General features: G+C 38.4%; 1 long non-coding RNA gene across 1 annotated transcript in view, besides 1 other annotated feature; it reads right to left on the reverse strand.

Moving 5' to 3' along the window:
• The window catches only part of LOC124901056 (uncharacterized), an 891,204-nt gene that overhangs the window by 755,278 nt on the left and 113,017 nt on the right, over positions 1–22,909 (reverse strand). The gene's annotated exons all lie outside the window — the stretch shown is intronic.
• Positions 3,190–4,389: an enhancer, noted in NCBI's record as "BRD4-independent group 4 enhancer chr5:125573255-125574454 (GRCh37/hg19 assembly coordinates)". NCBI's record gives its function as "activates an origin of replication core promoter dependent on BRD2, P300/CBP, MED14 and CDK7 cofactors, and independent of BRD4, by STARR-seq in HCT116 cells {active_cell/tissue: HCT116}" and the evidence as "EXISTENCE:reporter gene assay evidence [ECO:0000049][PMID:35650434]".

The raw sequence follows: 22,909 nt of genomic DNA on the forward strand, positions 1-22,909 counted from the left end.
GTTTTTTGAAAACTACCGAACTGGGAGCACAAACTGTTCTCTCTGTTCAAATAGCAAAAGCAATAGATGATGAGGGTCCCTACCTCTTCTCCAAAGTAGAGCTGGACTAGTTCAGAATCTGTAAGAGTAACAGAGTTTAAGTAGACAGAAAATGTAAAACAAAAAGGCATAAAATGGGACTGTGCTTCCAAAGAATACAATTGCCTTAAGAAACTCACCCTATGGTTAACCTGGGCAAGAAATTCACTCTCTGCCCCTCTATCTCTTGGTCCATTCCCCAGAGTAACTCTATCACACAGGAATGTAATTGTTTTCTACTTCACTAAGTACTCACTCCTACAGTTTTTCACCTCATTTGAGATCAGTTTGACAGGCAATACCGCTAACTGGCAGAAGAGGACAGTGTGGAGCTTTCGGCTTGTACACATTCGGGCCCCTTTCAGTGTAACAATTCTGAATGTAAACACACAAATATGCGTTCTCTCATCAAGAGGAACAAAAGCAGAAGGAAGGTTGGCATTTAAAGAAGAGAACGATGGAGACCAGTACCCATGTGTAAAAGAATTAAAACATTTGAAAGGATTATAAATTTGGGGGCAGTAGAATGAGTGACCAGTCCCTACAATGTTCTCTTTCAATTAAACACGAACTCATGTGCTTCTTTCTTGGACTTGCTATGTCAACATCACTTGTCCATCCTTTGTTTATTTCACTTCATGAGCTCCTTGTCATTTAATTAATGCTTTGAGATGAAACATGAAATTTCCTTATCAATTCATTTCGAAAATATATTCTGACTTGTTAATATCTCTCTTCTTTGAAAGAACATTTCTATAGCTTATATTACAAGGAATGACAAGGGCAATTAACATTAAAAACTGAGCAGAACAAAGCTATGGTAATGAGGAGTGCTACAATTCATTCACCAAGACGCCCAGTGATAAAAGGATAAAATGAACCTACCTTTCTCTTTCTGATAACAAAGCAATTACAACTTGTAAAGTAACATGGAGAAAATAATAATTTAATAGAAAACAGAGAATGGTAGGCACAGACAAACACAAAGGAAAACAACTCTGCACAAAAGATAATTCACTTTATCACAACTTCCCATTGTGAGTAGAAAACGACTTGCCAAAAATGTCAGGATACACAGCAATATTTTTCCCCAGAAAAAAAATAATTTTCTCGTATTGGTATTCAGAAGGTTGCTAGCAGAACAATACAAAGAAAGTCTTTGAAAGTAGTAAGCAAGGAAGCACAAGTAGAGGTCAAGCAAGGATAGTACGATAATGCACACACCCACACCAACGTACAGACACAAACATACTCACACTTAGCGACTAGAATTCCAAGAAAAAGAATTATGAATTGGAGACCACAGGATTAACATTCTGAACGAGCAATCAACATTTGGACCAAATGAGATATGGCAGCCTCATGACCTTCAAAGATACGTGGGAGGACTCCAGCTGCCAAGACAATGTCAGCAGTTCCCACAGAATGCCAGGCAGACCCAGGCTGCAGAAAGCACATCTGTGGACCAACCCCAGTTCAACCATCTCTGGTTAAAAGGTGTTCTCATCAGCTGAGTGCATTGGCTCACACCTGTAATCCCAACACTTTAGAAGGCCGATGCGACAGGATCACCTGAGGCCAGGAGTTTGAGACCAGCCCTAGCAACATAGTGAGAACCTGTCTCTACCAAAAATATAAATAAAATTTAAAAATTAGGTGGGAGTGGTGGCACATGTTACTAGCTACTAGGGAGGTTAAGGCCCAAGAGTTCGGGATTCAGTGAGTTATGATCAGACAACCATACTCCAGCCCGGATGGCAGATTTTTCCCAAACACTTTTTTGATTAAAAAAATAAAAAAAGTGCTCATCAAAGAACTTAAGCATGAAACTGATAGCCAAGGTGGTTAAGCTTCTGTTTGTAGCCCTGAAGCTTACTCCCAGAGTATTAAATCACTTCCATTGTTTCATCTTAAAATTGGGAATGGCGCCACTCACATGAAGATCAGGTAATGATTATAGAGTGTTCCAAAACTAACTATTAAATATTATAAGATACAATACATGCAAGAATCAGCCTACACAGCAGATACGGGCTCCATGCTACTCATACCATGCACGTCACTCTCCAGGTGTTATTGATTGTGTGAGAAAAAGCATAGAATTCAGACTGTTTCCCATCTTTAGAGGGAACTGTATCTTCCTACAATATCTGTGATGATGGTGCCAAAGTGGCTGTAAAGAATGTATATCCTGGCCAGGCGCAGTGGCTCATGCCTGTAATCCCAGCATTTTGGGAGGCCAAGGCGGGCGGATCACCTGAGGTCAGGAGTTCGAGACCAGCTTGGCTAACATGGTGAAGCCCCGTTTCTACTAAAAATACAAAAAATTAGTTGAGTGTGGTGGCCCAGCTACTCAAGAGGCTGAGGCAGGAGAATCGCTTAAGCCCGGGAGGCGGAGGTCGCAGTGAGCAAAGATCGCGCCATTGCACTCCAGCTTGGGCAACAAGAGGTAAATTCCAACTCAAAAAAAAAAAAAAAAAAAGAATGCACATCCTTTATGAAGAACAAAAGTTCAATATTGAGCTGATCCTTCTTGCACACAGAATGCCTCTCTCTCTCAACACACTCCATCTCCCCTTTCCTTTCCCCCCCTCTCATTCTTGCCTTTTTATGCTTTCTTTCACGTACACTTATTCTTAACCATAGCTTCTTCATTTTAATATAAAACTTAAAGTCGCATTTATGCATCATATAACACATTCCAGTCCTTTCCAAAGTCAACAATCCAGGAATGGCCTGGCACAGTGAAGAGCTGTAAACCTACAGATTTTGAATATGTGACCATTTAGTTCAATCTCTCACCAGATGTTGAATCTCCTTCATAACATGCTCAACTGCCTCTAGTGATGATTTAAAAAAAAGCAGCCTGTTGCATTTATGAGGTTTTAATTATTTGAAGGTTATTTATATATTGAACTTAAATCTGCCTCCCAATAGCTGTCAAGGAGCTTACATTCTAGTGAAGGACACAGACGCCGGACAAATAAGTATTAGAGGTAGTGATGGTGTTCTGTAGAAAAAGTCATTTCCCAGCTGTATTAACTTAGATCTTTTTAGCCTCTTTTATCCTGTTTTTTTAATCTCTAGAAATATTTTAACAGTCTCTAAAATATGTTATTTGAATAATAACGTAAAATGCTAGCTTAGTACCTGACACAAACTAGTTGCTCAGTGAAGACATATATCATTATTGTATACTTTGCTGTTGGTTTTTTTCCTGCTCCACAGAGTTTGTTCCCAGCAATTCTGTAAGAAGGGGCAAGTTGGGGAGCTAGACTTGACTGACTCTCCAGTTTACCATCTATTCTGCAGTTAGACGAGTCTTCCATCAGGTAATCCACAATAATAGTAAGGCTTCTAACCATCCATGTCTCTGGAGGGGAATGCAATGGCTATTGATGTTTGCTCCGACCCTGATTCCACTCCTCATTCTTCAAGTAACTGACTTTTGGGAAACCACCCTTTTCCATGTCCAGTCCATTTATTAGCAATGAAGCCAAGTCTGATCCCAGAGCCAAAGCTCGCTGCGTCCCATGTAGAGCAGTAAGAATGGACCAGGCGTGGCCACACAAACAGGAACCCAGAACCTGCAGTGCAACTATCAGGAAGTGGTAAGTTTTTTCCACTGGACTTGAAACAGGGCAAATGTGAACCTGGAACTGAGGGGGCCACTTGTTCAGACTTGTTCAGAAAACACAGAAAGCCAACGGAGGGCAGGAGACATTTGGGTCCTGGCAAGAGATTTGAACCCCATAAAGTCACACTTGAAGACAATGGATATTTTTATTATATAAATCAACAAATTCCCCTTTTAAGTGAGTTTGAATTGAAGCTTTTAAGGCATTTAAGGCTGAAAGATTTCTTCTGTTTAGTTACAGTCCGATCAGATTTTCCCTGCAACAAACATAATCTGGACTTGGATGAAAGCTTCAATGGTTCTTAAACCTTTCAGTGCCTATTCCAAGTCATAGAGAGTTCAGCGGCAGGATGGCTAAGGTAAAGGTAGGGGGAAACTCAGTATTTGCCTCTAGTCAGCTACTTTATTCTTCTCAGTACCAACCAGGGCAAGGCGTCCAGGGCTAGGGTTATCCATCCCACATCTGGATGTTCTCCAAATCTCCCAAAGGCACTCTACTTTCACCCCTTGTTCCCTACCTCTCCTCTTTCTTGACTTGCCACAACCTTTCATACTCCCACCTTCCAACGCTATCACTGAGAGAATCTACCCCACTCTCCTTTTTCTCAAGATCAGCCCCTCCTCTTTGGGTAAGTGTTCTCTCCCTTCTTCGGTCTTGCAATTTTACTGCTTTAAGCTTTGAGTGTCAGTGACTTTTGTTGCTTTGTTGAGTTAGTGAAACTCTGCAGAAAGGAATATCTAGCTCAGTATCCACTGAGGAGAGAAGCTGCAGTTGCTACTCCCAGAGGCTCTAAAATCAAAAATATTTCAATTCCACACACACAAAAATTTTTAAATATAAACCCACCTGTTTCTATTGGAAATTTATGTTATTCTCATTAACATAAGTTATACTGAGTTCTTTGAGAAGTAATACTTTATGGCCTTATTGTGTTTTCCCTCTTGAACCCTTCCCTAAGTGTCATCAAACATTCTACAGGCCAAATTACTCCTCCCTAATTCTTGTCTGGGAGGGAGCATGTTTCAGTTCCTGTCTTCACATTAACATTATTAATTTCTCTTCTGTGGAATAGGACTAACTCACCAGAATTTTCCCTGGGCTGAGGGAAGCACTTCTCCAGATGGCCTTGTGCCCTTTGTCCTGAGTGCATGCCCACCAGGACACCTCCTGGTCCTTCCTTCAGATTTCGTGGTTTCTAGGGTACCCAAGTGGTCCCTGGATACATTCTGGTCCCTGGATAGAAATACTACTATCAACTAATAAGCTAACATTCTGATTTACACTCCTGCCTCTTGAGAGCTTAGATACTGTGAGTCAATATCTAGAAGACCAACTGTTTCTGGATGCCTTGTTGGATGAAGTTTCTAGATCAACAAAGCTGGAATCAGAGCTTAGAGAAAATGACCCACGAACATACCACTTCCCTCTACTTCCTCTGTTATATAATGGAGCCAGCAGCTCTAGATATATCTTTACATCTCAGTTGTGTCTAATTGCAGCAGATAGCACTGGGCCCCTGATGTTGGAAGATGGAAGGAAGAATCATGGGAAGGTGATGGCTCAAGGCCAATATAAATTCTCATGAATGTCTTTAGCTGTCTGCTGCAACCCTCAGGTGAGCAAGCGTTTGTCACAAGGAACCATAGACCTTGATCTGCCCAGATGTTCAGGAAGAGGTGGGTCCATTTTTCCTGAGCAACCATTCCAAAAATTTCCCATTTGTCTTTCTCCGGTCTTGTTTAAGCTTTTATCCTTGATTTCTCTTTCATTCATTTTTCTACTTGTGTTTAATGATAATTGCCCTAGTCTTTAAATATAAATGTAGCTCTGATACAATCCAATAGCTATTTAATATAAGATCATACAAAGCCTACAACCTTGACCTCATCCTTGGGAAAGTCCTCCACGCACACCCAATGAGAGGTGTGTCTTCAGTGCCAGGAAGAGGTTGGATGGACAGAGGAGGCATCAGTATTAGGGAAAAAGTACAAGGACAGAATCAGCAAAGACAGGAACTTAAAAATGTGTGCATGATATATGGGCAGAGGGAAGACCAGTGAGACTTCCCAACTGGTTAAAAGAGTTCATTTTTGAAGAAACTCTTTTATGGAGATCATGTTGGACTATTAGGGCAAAATATGACCATGGAAGCTCTGAAAGCTAGACTGAAAGGTATTCTTCACCATCACAGGTAATGAAAAACAATTGTGAGTTCTTAAGGACCAACAAAATGCTATTTAGAAACAGGAATCTGGCACCAATACACAGGAAAGTTTGAAAAGGGGAGGGCCTGAACTAGAAAGTAGACTCAGAGAGTTGTTGCAATCAGCCAGATCCTGACACCTTGATGGCAGGTGTGATTTTTAAAATATTATAAATAACTATACAATGCTCAATTATCCATAAAAACCAATCCAAGATTGTTCTGATGACTTAAGCCTAGAACCCTGAATGACTGGCCAGTACTACATATCTTGCCCACAACACTGGTATCATCAAGTACGGGCTCATAAAGGTATCTCAGCTAAACTGAGAAATAAGTGCAATTTTTCACATTAATTCTTTGTAGCATTCATACTTAGATCAAAAATCAATTAAGATATCCCAGAGTCTCTAACCCAGTGTGTTACTATGTTGTGCCCAAGAAGAACATATGCTAAGATGGACATGGAGTGGGAAAATTCAGGAGTTTTTTTCTTCTTCCACACATGTGGATTTGTTCTTTATAAATGACAAACCTGCTTACAGAAAAGGAAATCGATGTGAGAGTGCAACAGTAAAGAAAGATAATAAAGTCCTATGTGTCCTATGTATAAATGGAAAAGGGGACTATTTTTGATCCTATGTACTATTTAAACATTTTCTCTGTGTCATCTCTATAGCTATTTTTTGACTAATCTCAAAAAAAAATGCCTGAAAACATTTTACTAAAAGCTACATTTTCTTCTGTGTGAAGTGTTAAAATGAACCCTATACTTTTAACAGATAATCATTCCAAGAGACAGAAAAAACTATTGACATTTTTACAATAACAGGTTATTAATATAATTCACTGCAGCTGAAAGCACATAGAATACACTTACAATGTGGCTGAATAAAGGTTGCATGTACTTTGTGTTTTATTCTGCATCAAACAAATATCTGTCATGCCAAATCCTAGACTAGGCATAGAAACTCTTAGAAATCTCTGATTCTCAGAAAAAGATGAGCAATTGGAAAAAGTTCCTCTTCTCTAAATAAATTCCACATCAAGTAGTCCTAGAAGCCAACACTAGAGAAGAAAAACACATCACAATCATTCTTCAGGATAATGTCTGCAAAGTGTCACCCTGGAAGCCCCAGCAACACAATTCCGCAACATCTGAATTGCGTTGCAGAAGCAATATTACATAAGCTCCCTGAGAATAAGTAATCAAGGAGATGGATGCTACCTCTTTCCACAAATACATCATTTTTTCTCAGCAACTACTCATAGAAGAACATGAAGAAACAGAAGTGCGTATCTCTAAGATTACAGACACCTGCACCATTCTTCTGAAACTATTGCCTTAGAATTCTCAAAAAATTGTGATCTCCAATTAAAATGAAACCAGAGACTGTTTACATTTAAGAGCTTTCTAAAAATAAATATGAGGCCCAGATTAGGCTTCCCTACTACAATATTTACAGACCAAAGAATTTGAAGGGAAGCTGCTCTTGTCTTCAAAAGGCCTTTTTTGCCAGTTATTGAATCCTAAGTTCTGTATATATGAATATACATGTTTCTCAGCCTTGTTGCACCCTCGTTCCCTTCTGCTGAAAGAGATTTACAAAACATTTGTTTTCCAAAGAATCCTACACTTTATAAAAGGATGCACCATAGGTTTCCTTTAAAAAGCAGACTCCCTGCTGTGCTTAAAATGAGTCAATTTACAAAGATGTGAATTAGCTACAATTCTCCAGAAATACATCTGCTCCCTAAAGCAAGTCACACCTACTAAAAACTGTAGGTCTGAAAATTAGTGTGCAGGAAACATATTTCAAGCTCTTCAATAAAACGAAACAGTCTTTGGAGTTAATAAACAGTGGCTTGTATTTATTAATCTGGCATAAAACAAGATGGCTCCTAAAATCTAATTTTTCTTCTCTGTGCACTGCCTCCTCCCTGCCATGAACACCCATAACCTGCCTTTTTAATCTACCCTAGAATACAAAGGACTACTTCCCTCTAACTCTAGGCTTTTTCTGGCTCCTGCAATGGGCCATGTTCTTAGCCAGTCTCACCTCCTGCCCACCCTTTAATTCAGAGGGGTCTTCCATATTGTGAGGCAGTTCCCTCCAACCCTCTTTGCGTGGCCCCCGCTACTTTTCCTTTGTAGCCTACTTCAGCTCTCTGCTGGCTTCCTCACCAGTGCATCCTTGACACCACCTTTCAGAATAGATCAGTTCTTTCTCATTCTCTCTCTGCCCCATGTACTTCTCCTTCACAGCACTTGTCCAGAGTTTATATCTGAACTACTGGGATCATTTGATAAATAGCTGTCTTCCCCATTCCAGGCTTCATGAGACATTATTTCTGTTTTTGTTATTTTATGCCATCGCCTGGTACCATGCATAGCAAAAGTGGGCTGACAAAATATTTACTGAATAGACAAGTGAGCCCTGCTTGCCCTTCAAATTTCCTCCTTATTGTTATTCTCTACCATATCAATAGAACTATTTTAGAAACCCTACACGTCATCAAGGACACTTCTCCAAAGATCTATATCCTACTATCTACATCCTCTCCTTTCTGAACTCTTTTCAAACTTCCACACCTAAGATTCTACTGAAACCAGTCTCTCTAGTTTTCCTAATAATCTCCTAAGGGACGAATTCAGTGGCTGCCTCAAGATTCATCCCCTTTAAAGCCCCTTCAATAAAGGTTGATGGCCTGCTCATGGTCCCTTGTCTTCTTCCTACTCGTCACTTTGACTTTTTCCCTTTCCCTCCCCCTGTTCTCTTCACATTTCCTCAAGATGCTCAACTTCCATCTCTCCAGCTCTTCCTTCTGGCCTCCACTATCTCTGTTCATGATACTTTCATTCCCCCAGACCCCAAGTCTGAAACACGTTACTCCTAGATATTCATTTCATCAATGCCATAGATTCTTCCTGGGGAGATCCCAATAGCCAAATTTCACTTTGAGTTCTCCTTAAGACCTCTGAACCATTTCTCCTTGCCTTCTCACTAGTTTGTTCTATACACACACTACCTTCTTCAAATATAGAGCAACCACATCACTTCAATGTTTAAAAAAAAATTTTTTTAATACAACTTTTCCTCCCTTCCCATTGCCCTAAAAACCAAATACAAAGGTGCAGGAATCTCAAGGACATGACACCGGGCCCTGGGAAAACTTAATGATTCGTTATTTCATAAACAATGATGGCAGTTCTCTATTTCACACACAAACCCACAAACCCATACCTACACTTCCTCCCTTTTGCCCTGGAGTACTTAAGTTTTATCCATGTTTCCAAGTACATTGCAAATGCTTCCTCCTCTGAAAGTTTTGCTGATTTCCTGAATGAATGTGATCTCTCATACTTTGACCTCTCATAAGCCTTTGTGTTTGGTGGTATCCTAATTATTTGTGCTCCAAAGATATATTCCTCTAAATCACAAGGTCTTACCTGCTTGGAAAACATAAGCACAATGTATTGAAATCCCAAATTATACTAGAAATCCCTTTTAAAAGACCATTATGCTTTTAGCAAAATGAGTCTCCAAGTGATTGGCTCTAAGAAATTTTAATAGGGCTTTTAATTGTAAATCAATTATTTTGGAGAAATGATTTAAATTGTCAGTTGGCATAAGTTTTCAAGGGTATTTATTTCAATTACTTCTAAAAGTGTATGATGTTTTGGAGGTGAGGTAATAATTAGTAGTGCAAAAAGGCTAGAAGGATTTAAAGTCTTTAAAGTTTGTTACTGTATAGATTGAATGTTAAATGCACTTTTAAAAATCAGGCACATATTTTCTAATTAATAAAGGATTGACCAAAGCCTAATGTTCCCGTAGGAGAAGCTTCTTTATCACAATATCGCTTTATCTCTTGAGAGTCGCTTGAGCCTTGACTGTCTATCATGAAAGAAAGATTGCCAGTGTGAGCTAAGGTCTCCCAAGCTAGAGCAGGAGAGCCCACAACTCACTAAGCCCATCTTTTCTCATTTTCAACAGATAAAAAGGTGAAAGTGTGTGGCACATTGGGCTAAACCTTTCGCATCATCAAGGGTCATTATTTAGAACTGTTGATTGCAAGAAATAAGGGGTGTATGTGTTTGAATGTCTTTTTAAAGTTATATAAACTATTACTGATCAGTTACATGATACCCAGGAGCAAGATCATGGGGTTTAATTACAAAGAATTATGCCTTGAGTCTCCCGTTTACAAGGAAAGCTGAAACACTTACATATAGTATAAATAAATATTTGTTGAATCTTAAAATTTAAAAACCTTTTAAAAACATCATCAAATAAAAAATTACATATAGTATAAATAAATATTTGTTGAATCTTAAAATTTAAAAACCTTTTTAAAACATCAACAAATAAAAAATTAATGCTATAGAAGTTGCAAAATTTATGGAGGATCCAAAAGATGAGATTGAATTATGGCAAGATTTAACTATAGAATGTTTTAACATTGTTTAAAATAAAGACTGGAAAGATAGTAGATATCCAACAGTAAGGAAATGATTGAGTAAATTATAGCATATCCATACAATGAAATGTGTTTCTGACATTTGAACTGATATTGGAGGTATATTTCTTAACCAAGAAAGTTGTATAAAAATAAAAGTAAAATAATGTAATCAACCATGTATTTTATATGAGGTATATATACATAATATTCTGTAAGAATGTGCTAAAAATGTAAGAGCAATTGTGACTGGGTGGCATAAACTCTATATTTTATCTTCCTTTTGGCTTATATAAATTGTCAATATATTTTTCTGTAGTGAACATGTATTTTTTAAATGTTGTCTATATTAAAAGGAAATAGAACCAGTATTCTTTAAATGAAGATAAGAAATGAGAAAAAGACAAATAGACATTTGTAAAACAAAGACTAAAAATACAGCTGCAAGACTTTCTGTGGAGTAGAAAAGGGAATCTTATTTCAAAAAAAAGATTAGCCTTATTATTATGTAAATAATTTTTTGTTAACTCCCACACACCAGAATTTTCGGTAAGATATTTCAAATGGGAAATCAAAATACAAAGAGTCAAATAGTGATGAAAGAGTAAAAAAGAAAAATAAGAAGTGTTCCCTCTAGAAAGAACAAAGAACAGTTCAAGTTAATAGATTAGTACAGTTCCCAAGTAAACACTTTCAAAGAAAACATGCTCTGTATTATGACTGCTTTGTGAAGTCTTCTCCTGCTAGGAAGAGTATGTAGTACACACATGTAAGATGCCTAATGCAACTAGAACATTCCTAAAAACTGAAAAAATAATTGCTTAAAGAAAATTTAAGATTTTTAATTGCTGATTATTAGACTATTTCATATGTAATTTAGGCTGTCAGACTTAATAAACATTAGCTTTTGTTGTGACTTAGTTTCTTGTAGTACTGACTGTTGCCTTTAAATTCTTAACGTATTAGTACATTCTCACCCTGCTATAAAGAACTACCCAAGACTGAGTAATTTATAAAGAAAAGAGGTTTAGTTGACTCAGTTTAGCATGGCTGGGGAGGCCTCAGGAAGCTTACAATCATGGCAGAAGGCACCTCTTCACAAGGCAGAGGGAGAGAGAATGAGTGCCTAGCAAAGGGGGAAGCCCCTTATAAAACCATCAGATCTTGTGAAAACTCACCATCACGAGAACAGGATGGGGGAAACCACCCCCGTGATCCAATTATCTCCACCTGGTCCCTTCCATCACATGTGGGGATTATGAGGACTATAATTCAAGATCAGATTTGGGTGGGGACATGGCCAAACCATATCAATTATAATACATTATTGTCTTTTTTTTTTTTAAGAGGAAGTCTCACTCTCATCCCCCCAGGCTGGAGTGCAATGGCACCATCTGGACTCACTGCAACCTCTGCCTCCCGGGTTCAAGCAATTCTCCTGCCTCACCCTCCCGAGTAGCTGGGATTACAGGCGCCTGCCACCACACCCAGCTAATTTTTGTATTTTTAGTAGAGATGGGGTTTCACCAAGTTGGCCAGGCTGGTCTCAAACTCCTGACCTCAAGTGATCTGCCCACCTTGGCCTCCCAAAGTGCTGGGATTACAGGCGTGAGCCACCGTGCCCAGTAATACATTATTGCCTTTAAGGCAGGGACAGGGACATTGCCCTAAGAATCTTCTTCAATCTGCATGTTCTCTAGGTGGATAGTCAAGATTTCAAAGCTGCCGTTTAAGGATAACAATACTGGATTTCCAACACCATGTTGAATAGGAGTGGTGAGAGAGGGCATCCTTGCCTTGTGCCAGTTTTCAAAGGGAATGCTTCCAGTTTTTGCCCATTCAGTATGATATTGGCTGTGGGTTTGTCATAAATAGCTCTTATTATTTTGAGATACATTCCATCAATACCTAGTTTATTGAGAGTTTTTAGCATGAAGGTTGTTGAATTTTGTTGAAGGCCTTTTCTGCATCTATTGAGATAATCACGTGGTTTTTGTCGTTGGTTCTGTTTATGTGATGGATTATGTTTATTGATTTGCATATGTTGAACCAGCCTTGCATCCCAGGGATGAAGCCCACTTGATTGTGGTGGATAAGCTTTTTGATGCGCTGCTGGATTCAGTTTACCAGTATTTTATTGAGGATTTTTGCATCGATGTTCGTCAGGGATATTGATCTAAAATCCTCTTTTTTGTTGTGTCTCTGCCAGGCTTTGGTATCAGGATGATGCTGGCCTCATAAAATGAGTTAGGGACGGTTCCCTCTTTTTCTATTGATTGGAATAGTTTCAGAAGGAATGGTACCACCTCCTCTTGGTACCTCTGGTAGAATTCGGTGGTGAATCCATCTGGTTTTGGACTTTTTTGATTGGTAGGCTATTAATTATTGCCTCAATTTCAGAGCCTGTTATTGGTCTATTCAGAGATTCAACTTCTTCCTGGTTTAGTCTTGGGAGGCTGTATGTGTCCAGGAATTTATCCATTTCTTCTAGATTTTCTAGTTTATTTGCATAGAGGTGTTTATAATATTCTCTGATGGTAGTTTGTATTTCTGTGGGATCGGTGGTGATATCCCCTTTATCATTGTTTATTGCGTCTATTTGATTCTTCTCTCTTTTCTTCCTTATTAGTCTTGCTAGTGGTCTATCAATTTTGTTGATCTTTTCAAAACACCAGCTCCTGGATTCATTGATTTTTTGTAGTTTTTTTGTGTCTCTATCTCTTTCAGTTCTGCTCTGATCTTAGTTATTTCTTGCCTTCTGCTAGCTTTTGAATTAGCTCTTGCTTCTCTAGTTCTTTCAATTGTGATGTTAGGGTGTTGATTTTAGATCTTTCCTGCTTTCTCTTGTGGGCATTTAGTGCTATACATTTCCCTAGACACTGCTTTAAATGTGTCTCAGATTCTGGTACGTTGTGTCTTTGTTCTCATTGGTTTCAAAGAACATCTTTATTTCTGCCTTCATTTCGTTATTTACCCAGTAGTCATTCAGGAACAGGTTGTTTAGTCTCCATGTGGTTGTGCGGTTTTGAGTGAGTTTCTTAATCCTGAGTTCTAATTTGATTGCACTGTGGTCTGAGAGACGGTTTGTTGTAATTTCTATTATTTTACATTTGCTGAGGAGTGCTTTACTTCCAATTATGTGGCCAATTTTAGAATAAGTGTGATGTGCTGAGAAGAATGTATATTTTGTTGATTTGGGGTGGAGAGTTCTGTAGATGTCTATTAGGTCTGCTTGGTGCAGAGCTGAGTTCAGGTCCTGGATATCCTCATTAACCTTCTGTCTTGTTGATCTGTCTAATATTGACAGTGGGGTGTTAAAATCTCCCATTATTATTGTGTGGGAGTCTAAGTCACTTTGTAGGTCTCTAAGGACTTGCTTTATGAATCTGGGTGCTCCTGTATTGGGTGCATATATATTTAGGATAGTTAGCTCTTGTTGCTGAATTGACCCCTTTACCATTATTGAATGGCCTTCTTTGTCTCTTTTGATCTTTGTTGGTTTAAAGTCTGTTTTATCAGAGACTAGGATTTCAACCCCAAACACCGCAAGTTCTCAGTCATAGGTGGGAACTGAACAATGAGATCACTTGGACACAGGGCAGGGAACATCACACACTGGAGCCTGTTGGGGGATGGGGGGCTGGGGGAGGGATAACATTAGGAGAAACACCTAATGTAAATGATGAGTTGATGGGTGCAGCAAACCAACATGGCACATGTATACCTACGTATCAAACCTGCATGTTGTGCACATGTGCCCTAGTACTTAAATTTAAAAAAAAAAAAAAGAAAGAAAGAAAAAACTGGAATAATGGCAATGGCCAGGAGCATAGCACTATAAGGTTACCTGCCTTACTAAGATGGCCTGGGTTGCTTGATACAGACCTTTGGTTCTCTTTCTATTTTCAATTTCCCCATTATGTGAGTCATTGTTGCTGTCTGAATTCAGTTATTGTCTATTCTTTTAATCATTTGTATATATATTTTTTTAAATCTCAGAGCAATGAAAGAATGGTTGCAGTGGTCTCCCCTCTTCATAGCTGTTAAATGGACCATGAGCCAAGTAGTAAGTGGGTTAGTCACTGTGATACAGAATTAAGACATGAGTTTTATTTTCCATTGTAGAGTTACTCATTACTTCTCTGCTCCACAAATTCAGTCAAGTATTGTAGGTGCTCACTGAGGTCAACTGTCTTTCACTGCTCTGACATTCTCTAAATGTGAAATCTTTGTAGGGACTCATGGTCGTATACATCACCCTCTCTCAAGAGGCACAGTGAACTCTAGAAGTTTAACAGCCTAGGAGATCCAAAAACCTTCCCTATGGAGTGTTTAAGTCCTGGCTTTCTTCTCCTTAGCCTGATGGTTCTCAGACTTTAGTGTACATCACAAGCACTGAGAAGCTATTAAAAATCCATCTCCCCAGGCCCCACATTGTCTACTGAAGCAGATAGGCCAGGGTGACCTGGGGAGAAATCCCTCTCCCTTGTCTATGTAATGGGAAATCTTGAAGGGCTGTGGTGTGGAGAACCTTGCAAAGGTCAAGAAAGGCCCAAGGCCACTGCTAGTTTCTAAGATTCTAAGAATGTTAGAAAAGAGAAAAGTGTGAAAACAAGTTTCAAAAATGGTGAGCTATTTTAAAAATTTATATTTCATGAACTATTATCTGAAAAAATATGTATGTATATGATTGTGCTACTCTTATGGAAAGTTCAGAATTTTAAAATAGTCATTCAAAATGCACTACAGGCTACATAGTCTATTAAGGGTCCAAAAATCTAAAATTACATGATGAGTAAGTTCCTGGATTCTCTTGATGTGCTCCTGTGCTTGTGAGTATAACCAAATTTGAAGATAACATCAAAAGTCTAAATCTGAGGTCCTTCGTGAATGAGAGTAAGAATAAGGCTAAATGGCCCTCCTGCCACCCCCACCCCTAACACAGGCCAGCATTTGGAGATAATGAGCATAAAGCACCTACCACCGTACCCAGAACATAAGAAATGCTGGCTCTAATTATTAGTTTCTACTAATTTTCCACAATGCTATGAGGCAAATATGTAAATTAAGCACACAGTCAAAACTTCTGTGTTTATACATAGAATTCCCAAGGTGATCTCTTTATCCATGAACTTCTAATAACCATTATCTTGTTAAATGTGAATTTGATTACACCACTTGTTCAATGTCTGTTTAGCTACGTTTATTCTTTGTTTTTACAAGCAGCAGTCCAAGAGTGAAATTCTACTAGAGCAGGAATTCTTAACCTTGTATTATGAATTCCCTAGAGGGATGGTGAAGGCCACAAAATTTGGTGCAAAACGTTGTACACCTATGTGTGTATTTCCTTTAGGAAGGTATCAAAAGCATCTATAATATTTTCAAATAGAATCAGAACCCAGAAAATTTAAAATCCTAAATGCAGAGTATCGGGGTGTGCTCACACTCTTCCCAAGCTGCACACACAATGCAGCATCGAAGTCCTAGAATCCCAAAGTACTTGATGATGATGGACAAGCCAGGAGGTGATCCCAAGACAACTTGACACCTCCAGGTCTACTTGGTCTGTGCATTAATTTCCCAGGGCTGCTGTAACAAAGTACCTCAAAGTGGATGGCTTAAAACGGAAATTTGGACTGGACGCAGTGGCTCACGCCTGTAATCCCAGCACTTTGGGAGGCCGAGGCGGGTGGATCACGAGGTCAGGAGATAGACACCATCCTGACTAACGCGGTGAAACCCCGTCTCTACTAAAAGATACAAAAAATTAGTCGGGCGTGGTGGCGGGCGCCTGTAGTCCCAGCTACTCGGGAGTCTGAGGCAGGAGAATGGCGTGAACCTGGGAGGCGGAGCTTGCAGTGAGCTGAGACCACGCACCACTGCACTCCAGCCTGGGCGACAGAGAGACACTCCGTCTCAAAATAAATAAATAAACAAACAAACAAACCAGAAATTTGGTTCTCAGAGTTATGGAGGCCAGAAGTCTGAAATCAAGGTGTCAGCAGGGCCATGCTTCCTCTGAGACATCTTGGAAAGGATACTTTTTGGCTCTTACAGATTATGGTAGCCTCAGGCATTCCTTTGTTTCGTGAAAGAAAAACTAATCTCTGCCTCTGTCTTCACATGGTCACCTTCCTGTGTCTCTGTGTCTGAATTTTATTCTTCTAAGGATAACAGTCATATTGTATTACTGGCTATTAAAATTAATTGGGAGGCCATTAGGCTGAGACAGCCTTAGCACCTTGGGTTCCTACCTAAGCAAATAGAAACATAATGTAAACCGCAAAATGAAACTTACCTTAACCAATCAGAAACTGCCAGCTAACCTCTACTAGGGACTTTAAGGCTACTGCTCCAATTTAACCAATCAAATCTTTTTCTTTCACCTGCATCTTATAAAAGTTTCCTCATCACATCCCTTTGGTGTAAGCCAAAAAACTTGTGGTTTGTCACTGCACAATTCATGAATCACCGTCTGCTCAAATAAACTCTTTAAAATTTCAATGTGCCTAACTCTTTAACAGGGCCCACCCTACTCCAGTGTAACCTTACCTTAACTAATTGCACCTGCAACAAACCTACTTTCAAAAAAGTCATATTCTGAGCTACTGGGAGCAAGGTCATATTTTGTGGTGTGGCCGGGGACACAATTCATCCCATACTAGGCTCTATTCTTCCATTTGTTTTGCTTATAAAAAGAAGGAACAGACAACCAGCACGTATTGAGATTTTCTCTATGCCTCCATCTGTGCTGATGCTTTAATCCTCACAAACTCCATGGTCACCAAAGAAAATTAAGACTCAAATCAGGTAACTTGCTTGGTGATGAGAACTAATAAAATGCCAAGTTTGAATATGAGTTTCTGTGACACCACAGTGACATTCACATGCAGTTTTTGACAATACTAATGCAACATCCCAGGACAAATCTCAGGGGAAAATATGATCTCTAGGCAAATAAAACATCAACAAATTAAGCACTTTATCATCTGTATGAGAGAGAATCACAAGCAAAGCAATGCTGAAGTTAAAAGGCTAACCTTAAAACTTGACCTTAAAAGATACTTAAAGTAATATTGGAAGATTCTCAACTAGTATACTTCTTTATATTTTATTCAGAGTCTATAAGATAGCATTTTTTTTAAAGTTATGTCTTCTGCTTTTTGGTGATTACAGTGTTTCGTATGAAAAAATTTGATTCTAAAGAAATACATAAGGTGACACAATGCCACGATTTTTCCCCTAAAAAAAAATAAATATATACAAACGTATGTATCATGAAATACGCCAGACATAAAAATGAAAAGTACTTAAGACTCTTAAATGCAGTCAACATTACTTTTTTATAACATGACAAATAAAATACTACATAGCTAAGCTTTTCAAACCTCCAAAAGCATTGCAAAATTCTTATACACCCACTCTCGAAAAAAGCTATTTGATTTTTTTTCTGAAAGACATCATCTCGCATTAGAAGTCACAAAGACGTGAACTTCTCATTTTCTACACAAGGTACACAAGGACAGTGAAATTGAAATCATCAGTGGGGTCCATAAAATGCTAAAATTGAAGGATTTTAATAAGAGATCATTTTACTTTATTACAGTTTATGCATAATATTATCTCATCTCAAAATTTACCTAGGCTCATCCTTCCCAGTTCATAAAACAAGCTACGTGGAACAGTGGAAAGGGTGTCAATCTGCATGGAAGTAGAGGTGGGAGGTGGGGCATGAGCAAGGAAGTAAAAGTTGATGGGAAAAGGGGAAACCCAGAAGACTGCAGGTCTCCACTCCCTCACAACTAAAGGGCTGAACCTCCAAACATGCAGATCTGCCCCAAGTACATCACAAAGGAAAAATAGGGTTAGTTCAAGTATACTGGGCCACTCAAGAAGTCCAACTTGCCCAAATGATCTCGAGCTTATTTCTAATTTGTATGAAGAATAAGAAAAGTATTTCTAATTAATGTTGATGATAGCAAGCCTATTCATTTTAAATAGTACAAAAAGAACAATGTGTTTTATCTGCAATGTGCATATACAGTTTTTATGGCTATACATTCATTTCATAAGACATTTATAGAAAAAAACTGTGTGATGCCATAGAAGGGGCATTATTAGCCCGGGTATGAACAGACCTAGAATGCAAGGTGAGGCCTGCCATTGACGGATGTGTGAGCTTGACCAGTCATTTAGTTCTCTGAACTTTATCTTTTCAATTTGTGTTTTTCTTCAAACTCTTGTGCTTTATATTATTCAGAATATTTTTACTATTTTAAAATAACTTTTTAAAAATTGATAGGTCTTTACTTTTAAAAAAAGTAAACAGGGTAAGCAACGGCATGGTCAAAAATTATATATTTTAAAAACCAAGTACCTGTCTTTAATCAAAACACAGTGAGTTGGCCGATTCAATTAAGACAGAAAATATAATTCCCAGTGTCTTAAATTTCACTTTCAAATTACTACATGCTTATCATAAATGAAGGCAAAAAGAGAAAATATTAGCACAAAATAATTTTGATTTTAAAAGGGCTGTTTAGTCAGTCATTCTGACATCATCATCAACGAACTAGACTGGTTTCACTAACAAAAACTGATTGAATTCCATAAATGCACTATCTGCCATGCTTAAACATCTCCTTGCTGAAATAGAGAAACGGCATGGGATTTAGCATCAATTGTATGTATGACCAGTTTGCAATAAATATTGCTTGAATTAGATGTGATTTGATTTGTCATGACTTTTGCATCCCCAGAAACCCAGTAGGAGCTTAGCTGTTAAGAGGAACTCAAGCATAGAGTTCTTTTGTTAATCATTAATGGCCACATTCTGCCAAAATTTAATTTCCATAGCTGCCAAGCACAAAAGTTCAGTTGTCTCCTGAATGCTAGCACTACAGTCTAATCTAATAATGAACATTGTAGCTCACCCTCAGCTATAAACAATCACACAAAGAGTATAACCCTTAACCCTGCAGATAAGTGGGTCAGAAACCACTAACCCAGGATAACAGCATGAAGGAAATTACTAATAAATTTTGTTATGTGATCAGATTAACAAACACATTTAAGATTATCTCTAAAGGCAATGAAAGAAAAACAACTCTCCACAATCCCCTTTTCCTCGACCCCAATTCAACTTGAAATTTAACCTGAAAAACTAGACAGATAGAGTCATATTTAATGATAAATTATAATAGTTAACACTTACTTAATGCTCTTATGTGTTGGATACATTACATATACTATTTCATTTAATCATCACAACAAATTTATAAAATAGGTACTTAATATTAAATTTATTTTATAGATGAACTAACTTTGGCTTAGTCAAGTTAAGAAACTTCCCAAGGTCACACAACCAGAACTGGGGTTTGATCCACCCCAACACCAGAGGCCAGGGTTAAGAACATACACTCTAAAATATGTATAATGAATATAGAAGGATTTCATGAAATTACTTTTGATGAAATAAGTTTAAAAATTGCAAGATGATAATTTTTATTATGTGTGTAAAATATATCCACATTTATTCATAGAAAAAGATCTGAAATGAAGTACTCAGAGGAATGGTGCTTATTTCTGAAGGATGGAGTATGGGTGAAAATGAATTCTTTATCAATATTTTTACCTTTTCTACAATGATTTATGTTATTTTTGATATATTGTTTTAATTAAAAAACAAAGTTATTTTGATAATAAAAATAAACCAAAGTTTATATCATCAGAGGTGGAAATAATAGAATAGATATATTTTAATAATGAATTTAAGAGAAAAATGGAAAACCTTTATGAATTTTTTTTTTTTTTTTTTTTTTTTGAGAAGAAGTCTCACTCTGTTGCCTAGGCTGGAGTATAGTGGCACAATCTCGGCTCGCTGCAACCTCCAACTCCCGGGTTCAAGTGATTCTCCTGCCTCAGCCTCCCCAGTGGCTGGGATTACAGGTGCCCACCACCACACGCGACTAATGTTTGTATTTTTAGTAGAGACGGAGTTTCATCATGTTGGCCAGGCTGGTCTTGAACTCCTGACCTCAAGTGATACGCCCGCCTCAGCCTCCCAAAGTGCTGGGATTATAGGCGTGAGCCACCGATCCTGGCCGAAAATTTTAAAGACAAGAAATAAGTGGGAATTAACAAAGGTCATACTATCTAAAAGTCTTGCAGTTATGAGGCAGGATAGGTAGTCAAGGAAGTGACTATGTTCTCAGGACGCAGCAACCATGATGACCATAGAGTCAATACAATAAGCCTTAGCATTCACATTGTAATTGTGCTCATTCAAGCAAAGCTATCTTCAGTAGAGACTTTCCCTTCTAGAGAGCACACACATTTTGATTTTACCTGTCCTCAAACTGAGCCTTTGCTCATTATAATAGTACAAAACACACCCCTAATTGAATATTTAAGATACTAACGAGACATGCGACGTATGAACAAGTATATACAGCTACTGCATATGTGCACCCAGAGAAACACCCAGAACATGCTTACTAGTAACACCTCCTTCCACCTCCTTATGAATAATCATGTAAGACTCCCATAAAGGGAGTCTCCCTAGTGCCAGTCTTTGCTGTCTCAACCTTATGAACAGCCCACCCTGAATCCTCCCTCCCTGTGTGTATGTGTGTGTGTGTGTGTACCGTCTATCCTGCACTTAACTTTCAAAATACTTTTTATTTTGTAATAAATTACTCTATGCCACATCTCCTTTGCTGTGTGTCTCTTGTTTCAAGTCTTTTAAACCAAGAACATAAGAACTGAGGTATTACATCAGACATCAATAGTCACATGTGAAGTGATAATCATATTGTCTTAGTCCATTCTGGCTGCTGTATAAAAAACAAACTGCGTGGCTTATAAACAACAGAAATTTATTTCTTACAGCTCTGGAAGCTAGAAAGTCCAAGATCAAGACACTGGCAGACTTGGTGTCTGGTGAAGGCCAATTATTAGTCCACAGATGACACATTTTCACTGAGTTCTTGCACAGTGGAAGGGGCAAGGCAGCTCTCTAAGGCCTCTTTTCTAAGGGCACTAATCCCATTCATGGGGGCTTTGCACTCGTGACCTAATCATCCCCCAGAAGATCTTACTTCCTAATAGGATCACTTTGGGGTTTAGGATTTCAACACGTAAATTCTGGGGAGATACAACATTCAGGTACCATAGCATATATTAATTGGAGAATCCAGTATTTTCTGGGGAGCATTTTATAAATGTATTTAATAAGAATCAATTTCTTGACAATTCACAAATGAAAGACACAAAGTATTATGCTAGCCATGCTAAGACCAGAGTTTACTCATCTTAACAGGATAGTAATATTCCTGAGCAAGAATGATCATAGAACCTAACCTCTTACCCCACTACCAGAAGGAAAGTATATGCTCCAGATTCCTCTGCCCCTAATTAACATAAGATTAAATCAAACAGTTGGAAGTAAGAAACTAACAGCTCTAAGAGGAAACTGTAAATCCAACAATAAATCTCCATGGTTCTACAACTCATCAGTTTCATCCTTTCTTCCTGAAAATGCTATTCTTTTAACTGCTTAATTTTATATTGATTGGAATTCACATCAGTTATAATCATAGTAGTTATTATGTAGTACATTCATTTATATTTTTAATAATTCAGTTTACACTATTGCATATATACAATAACTTCCTAAAATAGAGTACAGAGGTGAGAATCAAAGACACCATATTTTTATGTGTAGCCCCCGACTTGTTTATACTAATCTTTTTATTTTTTCTGAGCATGGCACCTCTCAGAGTAGGGCTTTGAGTGGCTAATGCCTGGTCCTTTGGCCTGAGATCTGAGAGAGTGGTGAATATTGTCATTGAACACTAATTCACGAGTGAGGGTTAAAGGTACAAATTATTCAATGTTTCCCATAAGGCAAAGGATTATGGTACTAAAGTCAGAAAAGGCATCAAGAATTTCATCATTTGAAAGATCAGTATGATCACACTTGCTCTATGGAAACATGTGTTAAAGGACAGTTTTTTAAAAGGCAAAATCATGACTCTCATACAAATGTAAAATGAACATATGTCAAGATTTTAACTTATTAATGGAGAGAATTAGTAAGATGTCAAAAACAGCTTAAGTGAATATTCAAAGGACACATATATAGCCAATGCTGAAATGAGTTTGCCAATAGATGCAAAATTGTCAATATCCAAGCCCAGTAAAATGTAATGTCTGGCCCAACCACTGCTACTGGTGCCTGAGCGTGCCATCTGGGATCCTGGCAATGGATCTGCCTACTTACTGCTGCTGGAGCCCACACACAACGTGAGGGGACTTGACAACAGGCCCATGATGCCCACTACCATCAGTGCCTATGTGTGCCATTCAGAGGCTTGAGTATGGGCCTGTATCACCCACCACCACCACTACCATTACTGGCACACACGCACACACACACCATTCAGAGGCCTGGAGATTGACCCACCCTGCCCACTGTAGTCCATGCCCATGCACACCACCAGGGAACCTAAGGACAGGCCCTCCCTAC

Source organism: Homo sapiens, chromosome 5 (genome assembly GCF_000001405.40).
Source record: "Homo sapiens chromosome 5, GRCh38.p14 Primary Assembly".
Classification (NCBI taxonomy): domain Eukaryota; kingdom Metazoa; phylum Chordata; class Mammalia; order Primates; family Hominidae; genus Homo; species Homo sapiens.